This window comes from Homo sapiens, chromosome 3 (genome assembly GCF_000001405.40).
Source record: "Homo sapiens chromosome 3, GRCh38.p14 Primary Assembly".
NCBI lineage: Eukaryota > Metazoa > Chordata > Mammalia > Primates > Hominidae > Homo > Homo sapiens.
The window spans coordinates 185,764,620-185,778,358 of NC_000003.12; the positions used below are offsets into that span (position 1 = coordinate 185,764,620).

Genomic DNA, 13,739 nt, shown 5'->3' on the forward strand with positions numbered 1-13,739 from the left:
AGCTTTTCTAGAGATCATCTTCACCATGATTCCCAGTGGGGAGATTCCTAAAAATAGGCAATTACCACATCTTGTATGTGATAATTATATTACGATAAAACAGCTCATAGTATGACAGCTACTGCCTGTGAGTAAGAAATCGTGTTGCCTCTGAGATCACAGCTTCAAGAAGGGGTTGACCTGTGTCAAAATCCCCTGACAGGCTTTATTTGTCAAGTCAGTTCTCACAGCACTCAGCCTTGCCCCCAGCTCTGAGACAATGGGGCTCTGTGTAGGAGCAGAGGCCAAAATCTGGAAGGACACTGGCACGCCTCTTCTACCCCCACGAGGTGTTTATTATTTTGCTTGCAAACAGGCTGGGTCCAGTGTTTTACTTTCTTCCCCCTTCTTCCCTTTGCTAATTTTATCTCAATTTCAAATTAGTATTTTTCAAGAGATAATTTACTTAATTCCCAGCCCCTCCTACCCGTTTATGACTTAGGAATGAATGTAAGCACAAAACATCTTGTGATGGCCTCAAAATAGAAAGCAAGTTTAAAGTTTTATTTTTCTGTCCCAAAGCTGCCAAAGCTCTGGCGTGTTTTAACTTCTGCTCTACACACTGTTTCCCCCTCCGTCCCTCCCATCCAGCTATATTTAGTAAAGCCCAAATAAAAGGGATACATACAAAGCAAAATTAAATATAGTTTCTTTCAATCAGTAAACCTGAGTTAAAGCTCATACAAACATTCATATACTAAGAAGTACTCTCCTCCTCCAAAGACAGCTCACAGCCTCACCTGTCTCACACCAAGTAGCAGGTGCGCCTAGAAAGGCAAACACACCACCTCCCCTCCTTAATCTCAGACCACTCCTTCCCCCCTTGATCCCACACTGCCCTCCTTCAGTGCCACCCCCACCTCTATGCTCTCCATTTCTAGATGCCAGTGTACCTACATCACACTCTACACTCCACCTGCACCTAGAGGGAAAAGAGGAGAATTGAGAAAGGTCCATCTATTAATACATGAAAGGCACGCAGAAGTGCTCGAGGACCAAGGGAGTGTAGACCAGGCTGCTCCAAAGCACACCACTGCAGCAGCTTCACCCCACATCTTCATCTCCAGTGACTGATGTCAAACTTATCTTTGACTTTCATTGGCTGAAAGAAATTCTATGGGACTTGGGTGCAAGGAAGACACTCTGATTCTGGTTTTCTAATAGGGATGAAGATATTATAATGGTAACAAGATTTTGGGGGGAAAATTCTTGTCCACAAGGCAGCAAAGCTGTAAAGCTAAATACGGAACATGCCAAAGAAGGGAATGAGGCAGGTTTACGGAGGAGAGTTTGTGGGCATGGGTATGGGAATGTCTCCAAATGCAACTTTTCCCATAAAAGAAGTATCTGACTGCCCCATCCCTTTTCCAAAACCAAAGGCACACATGAAGATGGGAGAAAATGTGGAGGTTCTAAGAACCCGATGGCTGGGTAGCAAACTCATCCTTCTCGGGATGCTTTCACCTAAATAAAGCCCAAGGTGCTATACACGGCCACTAAGCATATTTAATTCTACTATCAAAGAGGAAGCTACTACCAGGTCCAGTGAATAGCAATAAAACTATTTAGACAATATCATCAAAGCCCCAAATTTATTTGCCACTACATTAAGGCAAAACAATTTAAAATATTTTAAATTTAAATTTAAATACATTTTAAAATATTTTAAGTATAATGATCTAGAACGTGGACCAACAAACTACGGTTGATAGGTCAAATCCAGCCAGCCACCTGTTTTTGTATAGTCTACAAGCTAAGAATGTTTTTCCCTTTTTTTAAATGGTTGGAAAAAAAATAAAAAGAATATTCCGTGACATGTGAAAATTATACAAAATTCAAATCTCAGTGTCCATAAATAAAGTTTTATTGGAACACAGCCATGCTCATCCATTTACATATTGTCTATGGCTGCTCTTGCAGAGTTGAATAGGTACTAAAGGGATAGTATCATCTAACAAGCCAAAAATATTTACTAGCTAGTGCTTTACAGAAAAAGTTTGCCAACCCCTGGTCTAGAGACAAACCTGGGTTGTGAAAAATACTTTTTACTGATTTCATTTAATACTTTATAGTTTTCCCTGGTATATTCACACCTATTACTTTCATTTTATCTTCACTCCAAGTCAGTGAGTTATATCCTGTTTAGAGATGAGATCGCAAGTTTGAAAGTGGACTTGCCCAAGGTCATGCAGCAGTTAAGAGGCAAGGCCAGGGCTACACCCCAGTTTTCTGACCTATATCCCAAGGTGTTCACAACACACAGCTGTCTTCTTGGATGCCTGCTAATTGTAGCTGCCGTCTTTTAGACATTCTCTCCACATTTGATAGTTCACCTTAGTGTAAAGTCCCTCCTTCCTAAAATAGGACTGAAAACAAACTGCCCAGCCCCACTTCCTGCTAGGATAGAGACACACAACTGTGGACCCAGTGGCTTCCCAATCTGGCAGAGGCAGTTGTGGGAGAAGCTTCTCGATGGTGGCATAGGCAACAGCTCTCTTGGCAGACCAGTTCTGCAGACTATCAAGAAGCTCCACCTGCAGCCTGTTTCTTCAGCCTGTCCGACAATTCTGTGATCTATCTATATACCTCAATGCATTCTTTTGTGCTTAATCTAGCTACTCTGTGGATTCTGTTCTCCACAACGATGACCAGAGACCAACACAAGTTCAGAAGAAATCCTTATAATACTACAGTGTTTCCTAAAACCTTCCAGAACAACTTCCCACCATCATTACTATCTTCTAAAATCCAATCCCATTTCCATAAGATGTTAAAGGATTCTGTAGTTATGTAAATAAATTATAAAACATCAAGTTAAACAGATTTCTTTACTACAGGACTTCTCAGAGCCTTAAAATGCATGTGTGCTTCACAAATCTCCAAGAAAGGGACAAGTATACAACATTTGAAAAATGTATTTGACCACTGAACCATTTTTTAATATGTCTTACCAGTACAGTAATATATTTGGGGAAATATTGATCAACATACCTTCTACTTGGAAAAAAAAGTTTATAATTATAAAATATTTTAAAATAAGGCTGCTGAAATGAGGAATACAATTCTGGAATATGTTGGGTGAAATTATGGAATGTATTAGGGTTGAAAATGATTTCATGTACTGTTCAGGGGATATATTTTAGTGCAGCCATTTTGGAAAGCATTGGCAATGATTATTTTAGGTTAATGCAAAAGTAATTGCAGTTTTTGCCACTGAAAGTAATGGCAAAAACAGCAATTACTTTCACACCAACCTAAATAGCAAGTGTCTTAATCCTTATATTACTCTTTAATCCAATTATACTTCTAGGAATATTTCCTTAAAAAAATCTGAAATGTGGACAATTACCAGATCCTCAGCCCTTATATACACTTTTGTGACTTTATGCAAAAGAAAAAAATGTTCTCACTTGAGAAAAACACAGAAGGGTACTGCTTTGTCTTTCTATTCAGGTCATAACTTCCTTATGATTGAGGGAAAAGAGACAAAGGGGCTGTTATTTTCTTAGTGGCATCATGACACTATATAAACATTTATTTAGCTCTTTACCTCCTACAGAAAAAGGAAAAAGGAAAGTTGAGAACTTTCCCAAGAGTATCTCTATTGTTAATTAAAACATCCTCAGCCAGATGCATGGCATCCCTGTAAGTGAAACAGTGAAGAACCTGGGCGACATGAGTATGTAGTTAGAGGTGTCACGATGCTGAGCTAACCCGAGGGCTGATGATGAACTACAAACCTTCAGGATAGATTTTTTTCTGTGGGATTCAGTTTAACTTGGTAAAGAATATGATAATGATAAAGAACTGCATGTTAACCCTTTTAAGTCAATCTAAGTATTTTTAAAAGGTCCTTTAATACTACTTAAATATTTAAATTATATTTTGAATATGTATATACTTAATACATATAAAAATGATATAAATTTTCTGTCTAATTCTGTGGAGGACTGAAGGAAGCTTCAAATTCAGCAATTTGTAGATTCAGATCATGTGACTAGGACAGCACTGCCCTCTAGTGGTGGAGTATCATGCTTTCACTTTGAAGCTTCTGATAGATCAATAAGCACCTTTAAAAGGTTGAATCTAAGCCAGGCGTGGTGGCTTTTACGCCTGTCATCCCAGCACTTTGGGAGGCTGAGGCGGGTGGATCACCTGAGGTCAGGGAGACTAGCCTGACCAATATGGTGAAACTCCATCTCTTCTAAAAATACAGAAATTAGCCAGATGTGGTGGCATGCGCCTGTAGTCCCAGCTACTCAGGAGGCTGAGACAGGAGAATTGCTTGAACCTGGGAGGTGGAGATTGCAGTGAGCTGAGATTACGCCACTGCACTCCAGCCTGGGCGACAGAGTGAGACTCCGTCTCAAAACAAATCAAAACAAAAAAAAGGTTGAACCTGGGCGGGGCGCGGTGGTCCACGCCTGTAATCCCAACATTTTGAGAGACCAAGGTGGGAGAATCACTTGAGGCCAGGCATTTGAGATCAGCCTGGGCAACACAGCAAAACCCCCACCTCTATAAAAATTTTTAAAAATTAGCTGAGCATGGGGAGGCTGAGGAGGATGGGAGGATGGATTAGGCCAAGGAGTTGAGGTGGAAGGAGGACTTGGCCCCTCGAGTTTGAGGTTGCAATGAGACATCCATGATCATGCCACTGCACTCCAGCCTAAGAGACAGAATGACACCCTGTCTCCAAATTTTTTTTAAAAAAAAGGTGAATCTATTGTTTAAAACGGAAGTTATAAAGAGACAGCAAACACTCAGAAGAACCTGTAACTCTTAAATAGTGAATGCCATAACCAAGTAAAGGTATTCAGCTCAAAGGCCACTCTTCAATTTGCTCTCAAGTGCATTTTACAGACAGAGAAATCATGGTCTCCAAAGATTAGAAATGGCCTGGCACGGTGGCTCACGCTTGTAATCCCAACACTTTTGGAGGTTTGAGGCAGAAGGATAGCTTGAGCCCAGGAGTTCAAGACCATCCTGGGCAACATACCAAGATCCTATTTCTACAAAAAATTTTAATTAATGGTGATGCACACCTGTGGTCCCAGCTACTCAGGAGGCTGAGGTGGAAGGATCGATTGAGCCCAGGAGGTCAATGCTGCAGTGAACTGTGGTCACTGCCACTGCACTCCCGCCTGGATGATAGAATGAGACCCTGTCTCCAAAAAAAAAAAAAAAAAAAAAAAGAAACAATTTCATCTCAGTCACAAAACCACATGAACCAAGAGGTCTGTGTTTCTGTCATGCTTACTATCTATTAGGCAAAATCCACAAACCATCTTTTCACATTTTATCTCTAAAGAAGTGCCAACTGCCTATAGCAGCAGCCACTGTATCCCTCTTCCCAAAGTTCGGCCCCTGGGGACCAGAGGCCCACACAAACCCAATAAGATCTGGGAACCCCTGGAAGGGAAACGAATCCTGAGCCTTCTCTCTATGTCCTCAAGGAAGCAGAACTGGGGGATGGTCTCTCTCTTAGGCTCCTATGTCAACAGAATCTACGTCTCATAAGAAGGGATGTGGTGGCGGGCGTGTAATTTACATCAGAAAAATGAAGTCTCTACCCTTGCTCTGTCATAGCACACCACATAGTTAGGACTCAGGACTGGTCGAGCAGGACCGGCCAACCCGAGGGAGCATATCTGGTGATTTACGGGAAACTCCAGTTCTCTCAAGGAAAATGGGATGTGATAGGAAAAGCAAAACCAACGAACAGAGATTCACCATGTCAGAGTGAGAAAGAGTAGTGGGTTATATTTAAAAAGGATTTTATACATTGGAAAGTATTTTCACAAGCATCTTATTTGCTCCTTTGGTTATGACCCCATAGGCCTTTATTCCAAGGCACCAGATTTTAAAAAGACTGAGAAGTTAAATGGCTTGCCTGTGTAATCTGGAAAATTGGTAACAGACTCAAGACTCACCCAGAGTCTGTTATGTTTCCCATAGCACCTGTGACACCCAAGGTGGAGGTGCCTTAATTACCAGCACATACAAATTATGAGAGGAGGAGCCCCTCTAGGCAGTCACAGTCAGAGCAGCACAAAGAGACTGTAATAGATGATCTTGTGGAAAGGTTTCTGTTCTATTTGTCTTTTAGTTAGAGACAGGGTCTCACTGTTGCCCAGGCTGGAGTGCAGTGGCACAATTATAGCTCACTGCAGCTTCAAACTCCTGGGCTGAAGTAATCCTCCCACCTCAGCCTCTCTAGCAGCTAGGACTACAGATGTGCATGACCACATCTGGCTAATTTATCCTTTTTTGGTAGAGAGGGAGACTCACTATGTTGCCCAGACTGGTCTTGAACTCTTGGCCTCAAGCAATCTTCCCACCTTGGCTACCCAAAATGCTGAAATTATAGGCATGAGCCATGGCACCCAGCAAACGGCTTTTAAAAATCCAAAGAACAGTCACAGAACTTAAAAAGTAAACAAGCCTAAGACTAGAAGAGGGACAAGGAGGCCTACAAAACTTGAAAAGAGCCTAAATGGGCCAGGCATGGTGGCTCACGCCTGTAACCTCAGCACTTTGGGAGGGCGAGTTGGGCCGATCACTTGAGGCCAGGAGTTCGAGACCAGCCTGGCCAAGATGGTGAAACCCCTGTCTCTACTAAAAATATAAAAAATAGCCAGGTGTGGTGGTGCACGCCTATAATCCCAGCTACTTGGGTGGCTGAGGCAGGAGAATCACGTGAACCTGGGAGGTGGAGTTGCAGTGGGCTGAGATTGAGCCACTGCACTCCAGCCTGGGCGAAAGAGTAAGACTTCGTCTCAAAAAAAAAAAAAAAAGAATCTAAATATAATCACTGTTTTAACTGTTTTACAATTAAAATATGTTTATGAGACTCTGCTAAAACATGTAGGTAATGAGAAATCCATTTTAGAAAGACTGATATCCAAAACTCCTAAAACATTTGCTTAAGGAGGTAAACTTTCCACTTTCCAAAAACTTTCTAGATAACCAAGGCTCTGGCTGCCGTCGCTTCTCAACAATTTCAATAAATTAGTGAATCTCTTTCTCTTCTTCCTATGGTCTCATTTTTCCTTACAGTTTGAATAAGTAGTCTTGTCCTCTGAGTTTTTTTTAATGGTACATTTCAAATACTATGAGCTTACTTGCATTGCAACACTTAGTCTTGGTAATGAAAGAAAACAATGGAACTGGAAAGGTCTGGGGTCTATAACAGACCCATTTTTGAGGCTATGCAGCTCACACGGCCTCTTTGTCACAGAGGTGGGCTTCTGGAGGCGGTGTTTATATCCTGGAACCCTGTCACTGTGGCCATATCTGGTTAGGTCAGAAGTAGGCATCTCTGCCCCAAACAGAGCCAGTCAGAAACTCCTTCACAGCAACTCCTTTTGCTTAAGCTAGCTTGATTCTGTTTCTATTACTCAGAACCAAAAGGCTCTAGATAATACATTTTATGTATTTATTTGGTTTCTTTTCTGCTTGTCCACACTAAATTGTTTGCTCTACAAGGGCAAGGATTTCTGTCTGTTTTGTTCACTGTTCTAGCTCAAGTGCCTAGAATAATGCCTGGCCGATACTACAAAAATGTTTAGATACTCAAAAATGTTTGCTGAATAATGAATACTGTGAGCCTTCCTTAAAGAGTTTTCCCTACTGTAAGTTTTATTCAGTGGGCTGTTCTATTTGCTGAAGAGAAAACGCTAGGCTCTGTAGAGCTTGGTCTTTACCAACCTTCCACACGATATCTAAATATTTTCAAATTTATCTTTTCCCAAATATCTACTCCTCATGCTTCTGTATCTGAAAGATTCTCATCTCTCCTTCACAAGTTAGCAATTCAGTACTACAACGGCTGTACATAGTGTATTATATCACTATATCATCATCAATCATTACAATGGGATAATCCCTATACAACTCCTTTTCTTCCCTTCTCTCTCTTTTTTTTTTTTTTTTTTTTTTGAGACAAAGTCTCGCTGTGTCGCCCAGGCTGGAGTGCAGTGGTGCAACCTCAGCTCACTGCAAACTCTGCCTCCCAGATTCAAGCGATTCTCCTGTCTCAGCCTCCCAAGTAGCTGGGACTACAGGCATGCGCCACCATGCCCAGCTAATTTTTGTATTTTTAGTACAGACGGGGTTTCACCATGTTAGCCAGGCTAGTCTTAAACTCCTGACCTCAGGTGATCCACCCACCTCAGCCTCCCAAAGTGCTGGGATTACAGGCGTGAGCCACCGTGCCCGGCCCTTTCCTTCTCTTTCGCCCTTCTAAATGTCTGCTCTCAATAATGTCATAGCCTGGGCCATCTATTAATGAATGGGCAGAAGACTTCATCCCTGCTTCCCAAGCTCCAGGATTTAAATGGTGTCTGCAAGGGAATATAGAGGTGCTCCAGGAGGCCTGATAACTAACCCCATCAGGGTACCAATTAGGTTCCCAAGAGCAGCAAAGCACGTGACTGCTACCCAGGAGGCTAAATAGCACAATACCATTCCAAATCTCTTCACTAAGGACCAGGTAAGCAGACAAACCAAAAAGATAGCTGGCCACATTTTTATACCTCCTAGGTGCTATTCTAACTCCTATTACTGAGCCATTTACCTGCTCTGTGTGTTGATTAGTAAAACAGATAATTCCTACTTGTCTATATTGTTAAGGAGGAATAATCACTATTATAACACTATAGACTATAGAACTTGAGCTTTTGGCTAAGACAGAATGATCTATTAGACCTTCAAATAATTTAACAGGCGGAAGTACTAAATAAATATAAATTGTTCCCATACAAAGTTTGAGTGCAGATTACACATTCAAATGGAAATATACATGAATAGATAATTTTTAGAAGTAGGAAATTTTCCCCAGATATATGGTTTTAAAATTCAGTGTTTATGCTTAAAACTACTTAGTTAAAAACAGAACAAAATAGACTTTAGGTAAGTTTAAATTTCCTACATAAAAACTAAGTTAGGAAGGCCAAGGAGGGGTTTATTTATAAGGTCAAAAGAAACATGATCAGTTGCTCATAGAAAAATGAGCAACTGGCCTTATCCCTACAGTACTTTACAATTCCTTTGATCAACTCATCTTCTCATGCCACTTTCTTTTTCTTGCTGAAATTTCTCAGTGTAACTTCTTAGGCTTAAATTCTCACAATTTTCTTTTCATTAGCTCAATTTTACTTGCAGTCTGAATACTCGTTTAAAAACAAGTGCTCTAAAAGCCCTTGTGCCACATTTTTAACGTGCTGAGCACACTCATGCAAGTGATCTAACAAAGACAAATACTTTCTCAGCTCCTTCGCGGAGATCTTCTCACTTCTGGCCCTCCCTTCCTGGAAGTCCTGACTTCACTGACTGAGAGGAGAAACAAATCTCTTTTGATCTCTGGCTGGAGTGAGAGCTGCCTGCTGTTCTCTACCTCTCCTTAACACAGTGCTGAACACAATTTTCTGGAGGAGTGCCAGAATGTGTGCCTTTCTGGAAGGGCAAATAATTATGGCCTCATCCTTACTCCAGTTCATACAATTGAGGCGGGTATGGACAGTCTAGAGCACAAGCAAGCAGGAGGGAGACGGTTACACAGGGCTTGCATGGTTTCAATGACTTTCACCAGGTTTCAGATGTCTGCTTGTTTTCCTCTACTACTGCTAAATCACGGACTAAGAAAGTAAAAACAGGCCGGGCATGGTGGTTCCCGCCTGTAAGGCCTGCACTTTGGGAGGCCGAGGTGGGCGGATCACGAGGTCAGGAGATAGAGACCATCTTGACTAACACATTGAAACCCTGTCTCTACTAAAAATACAAAAAATTAGCCAGGCATGGTGGCAGGCACCTATAGTCCCAGCTACTCAGGAGGCTGAGGCAGGAGAATGGAGTGAACCCTGGAGGCAGAGCTTGCAGTGAGCTGAGATCGCGCCACTGCACTCCAGCCTGGGCAACAGAGCGAGACTCTGTCTCAAAAAAAAAAAAAGAAAAGAAAAGAAAGTAAAAACAACTTCAAGAAACACCAGTGGGGCCAACTCCTGCTTTCCCATTGATAAATAAGTCTCACAGACAGTATATGTGACAGTTAAGAGGCGGCTGGGGACGGGCGTGGTGGCTCACACCTGTAATCCCAGCACTTTGGGAGACCAAGGTGGGCAGATCACAAGGTCACGGCAGATCACAAGGTCAGGAGTATCAGACCAGCCTGGCCAATATGATGAAACCCCGTCTCTACTAAAAATACAAAAATTAGCCGGGGATGCTGGTGGGCTCCTGTAGTCCCAGCTACTTGGGAGGCTGAGGCAGGAGAATCTCTTGAACCTGGGAGGCGGGGCTTGCAGTGAGCCCAGATTGTGCCACTGCACTCCAGCCTGGGCAACAGAGTCAGACTCCGTCTAAAAAGAAAAAAAAAAAAAGAGGGAGCTGGGTTCAGATTTTGGCTCCAACACTTGTCTGGATGAACTCTAGCAAGTTACTTAAGCTCTATGGTCTCAGTTTCTTTATTTGTAAAAGAATAATAACAGCACTGACCTCATAGGACTGTTCAGAAGTTATATGAGAAAAACATGCAAAGCATTTACAACAATACCTGCCTTGTGAGAGCTCAGTAAATGATGGCAGTAATAACTGTTGATGTGTGATTAATACCCATATTACTGGTGTTGTTTTGTAAAGGAGTTGTTCCAAGAATTGCAGTGCCTTCATTCAGCAAACATTTCAATGAACACTTATGATATCTTATATGTGGCTAAACTCTGGAGACAGAGACTCAGAAGCCGCAATCTGGACCCTCCAAACAGCATCCAATCAAGTGGAAGATGATCATTTAAACAACACATCACACAATGGTAAGAGCTAGAACAGAGATGTACATAGGATCTTGACAAGCCAAAGAAGCAGCCTGAGAGTTCCAAGGAAGGAGAATGATCCAGAGCAAGGAGAAAGGTGAACTGGAGTGCACCAACAGAATAGGAGAGGGAACATCATTCTGAGCAAGGTTGGGGAATGGCAAAACATAAGACTAATAAGCTTAGCAAAAGCAATGTATGAAAGGTCTAAGATATTTGAACTTTAGCTTGAAGAGAAATGGAGATCACTGACTGTAGGACAAAGGATGGGCTGGGTTAGGGAAATAAAAGAAGATGGCTGAGTGAAGATTACTGCAATAATAAAAACGCCAGTCCAAGCACTAATAAAATGTAAAGGTATAATTTAAGAACTAGCAATTCCACTTCTCAATCCCTACCCTAGAGAAATACTTATATATAAGCGTGAATAATAGGATATTACAAAAATGTTTATTGCAGCATGTTTGGAATTGGAAACAGCCTAGCAATAGGCAAATGGCAAGGTGGCTCAAGCCTGCAATCCCAGCACTTTGGGTGGCCAAGGCGGGATAATCACTTGAGCCCAGGAGTTTGAGACGAACCTGGACAACACAGTGAGGTCACGTCTTTATAAAAAACTTAACAAATTAGCTGGGTGTGGTAGTGCACACCTGTAGTCCCAGCTACCTGGGCAGCTGAGGTGGGAAGATCACTTGAGCCCAGGAATTCAAGGCTGTAGTAAGCTACGATCATGCCACTGTACTCCAGCCTGTGTGAAAGAAGTGAGACTCTGCCTCTAAAAAAATAATAAATAAAAATAAAATAAAAACCCCAAGGTAGGCAAGGATAGATTAAAAACTCCAAAGAGCCTTATAGGTAGTATGGAGTAGAGAGAACAGATCCACAACATGTTTATAATTTAAAGTGACAGGTCTTAGTTGTGGATTGGATGTGAAGGATCAGAAAATGGAAAAAGTAAAAAGTGAGGACCGGGTTACTGACTGGAGAAATGAAGTTGATGGTGGTGCAACTGAGATCCAGGCAGAGAGGATCTGGGGGAAAGGATGCTGAGCCTCGTTTTGAACGTGTTGAGTTGAGGGACTTAGGGACATTCAGATGGAGCTATCCAATAGGAAGGAAGTCAGAAATACAGATCTGCATTTGTGAATCCAGGGTGAGGGCGGAGATAGAGAAGACTCCAGAATGCAGCCAAAGCCACAGCAGGGGTGTCATGGGAGTTGAAGGTAACGAAGATGGACCACCCCAGGAGATAAGAGTGCAAGGGAGAAAAAAAGAGCAGATGCCACAGCAACCAACATTTTCTCAGAACTACACTATTTTCATCTTCATCGGTCTTGTCAACAACAACTTTCTCAAACATTCCAATGTTCTTTATTTATATACCATCTGTTTCACAAATATTTGAGGCAGCTTATGGTAAAGACATACAATAAAACAGTGCAATATAAATGAAATGAATACATCAGGGTAAGAAAATAGGAAATTAGATTAGGAGGTCAAGACAGAAGCAGACTCAGAAAGAAAGTAGGGTTAAAATACAATTATTCAGTTCAAAAGGGTACTAAAGAGTTGCTACATTAGAGCTATGAGTTTGGCTCTGAGCTTCCTAGTGGCCAAAGTGAAAAGAGAGATAGTTGCCTCCAAAAGAAGAAACTACAGGAAGTCCTCACTTAATGTTGTCAATAGCTTCTTGGAAACTGCAACTTTAAGCAAAATGATGTGTAACAAAACCAATTTTACCATAGGCTAGTTAATATAAAGAAGAGTTAAGTTTTTAAGGTATATTTCTGGTCACAAAACCACCAGCCTGGGCAACATGGCAAAACCTTGTCTCTAAAAAAATAAAAGATTAGCCAAAACCAAAACCAAAACAAAACAAAAAAAATTAGCTAAGCATGGTGGCTCATGCCTGTAGTCCCAGCTATTCAGGAGGATGGCTTGGGCCCAGGAAGTCGAAGCTGCAGTGAGCCAAGATCGCACCACTAGCCTCTAGCCTGGGTGACAGAGCAAGACCCTGTCTCAAAAAAACAACAACAATAACAAAATCACCAAACTTCTAAAAGAAAAACCCCAAAACACTTTCAATTTTAAACATTTAAATAAATGAGCTATGCACACATCTAAGAAATATTCATAAAAACAAGTAAGATCATTATTTACCCAATTTTCAGTGAATCAGTGAGTGATGTCAGTCATAATGGTGGTGGGTTAAATCAAGGAATAAATGTTTGCAAAGCTAAAATTGTAAGGAGCATCTCCTATCACCACACAGTTCAAAAACCATCACAAGGGCTGGGCACAGTGGCTCACACCTGTAATCCCAGCACTTTGGGAGGCCAAGGCAGGCAGATCTCCTGAGGTCAGGAGGTCGAGACCAACCCGGTCAACATGGTGAAATCCTGTTTCTACTAAATATACAAAAAAATTAGCCCGGCACAGTGATGCACATCTGTAATCCCAGCTACTTGGGAGGCTGAGGCAGGAGAATCTCTTGAACCCAGGAGGTGGAGGTTGCAGTGAGCCGAGATTGCAAGAGTGAGACTCCGTCAAAAAAAAAAAAATCACAAATGTGGAGGCTCGCTGAGCATTGTTGTGCTGTATCACTTACTGTCATGCATTTGTACTACCATCTACTTTCATTTTACAGTAATTTATATTCATTCATTCATTCATTTTCCAACCTGCTTATTCCAATACAAAGTTGAGAGTAGCTGGAGCACGTCTTGGCAGCTCAGGGCACAAGGCCAGAAGCAACCCTGGACAGGACACCATTCCATCTCACGGCACTCACACACACCCCCACACTCACTCAGACAGGGACAACTTAGACACGCCAATTAACCTAATGTGTGCAACTTTAGAATATGGGAGGAAACTGGAGTACTCAGA

The 13,739-nt window shown here is 41.8% G+C and overlaps 1 protein-coding gene and 1 non-coding gene across 32 annotated transcripts in view, besides 3 other annotated features; both read right to left on the reverse strand.

The window, feature by feature from the left end:
• The window catches only part of IGF2BP2 (insulin like growth factor 2 mRNA binding protein 2), a 181,913-nt gene that overhangs the window by 121,490 nt on the left and 46,684 nt on the right, over positions 1-13,739 (reverse strand). The gene's annotated exons all lie outside the window — the stretch shown is intronic.
• MIR548AQ (microRNA 548aq) lies at positions 3,228-3,285 on the reverse strand. Its single transcript, NR_049838.1, has one exon. It is a non-coding gene; the product is annotated as a microRNA 548aq (primary transcript).
• Positions 4,687-5,187: an enhancer, noted in NCBI's record as "H3K4me1 hESC enhancer chr3:185487094-185487594 (GRCh37/hg19 assembly coordinates)". NCBI's record gives its function as "activates a minimal SCP1, AML or CMV promoter by ChIP-STARR-seq in primed H9 embryonic stem cells {active_cell/tissue: H9 hESC(primed)}" and the evidence as "EXISTENCE:reporter gene assay evidence [ECO:0000049][PMID:30033119]".
• Positions 5,188-5,688: an enhancer, noted in NCBI's record as "H3K4me1 hESC enhancer chr3:185487595-185488095 (GRCh37/hg19 assembly coordinates)". NCBI's record gives its function as "activates a minimal SCP1, AML or CMV promoter by ChIP-STARR-seq in primed H9 embryonic stem cells {active_cell/tissue: H9 hESC(primed)}" and the evidence as "EXISTENCE:reporter gene assay evidence [ECO:0000049][PMID:30033119]".
• Positions 9,033-9,885: an enhancer, noted in NCBI's record as "NANOG-H3K27ac-H3K4me1 hESC enhancer chr3:185491440-185492292 (GRCh37/hg19 assembly coordinates)". NCBI's record gives its function as "activates a minimal SCP1, AML or CMV promoter by ChIP-STARR-seq in naive H9 embryonic stem cells {active_cell/tissue: H9 hESC(naive)}" and the evidence as "EXISTENCE:reporter gene assay evidence [ECO:0000049][PMID:30033119]".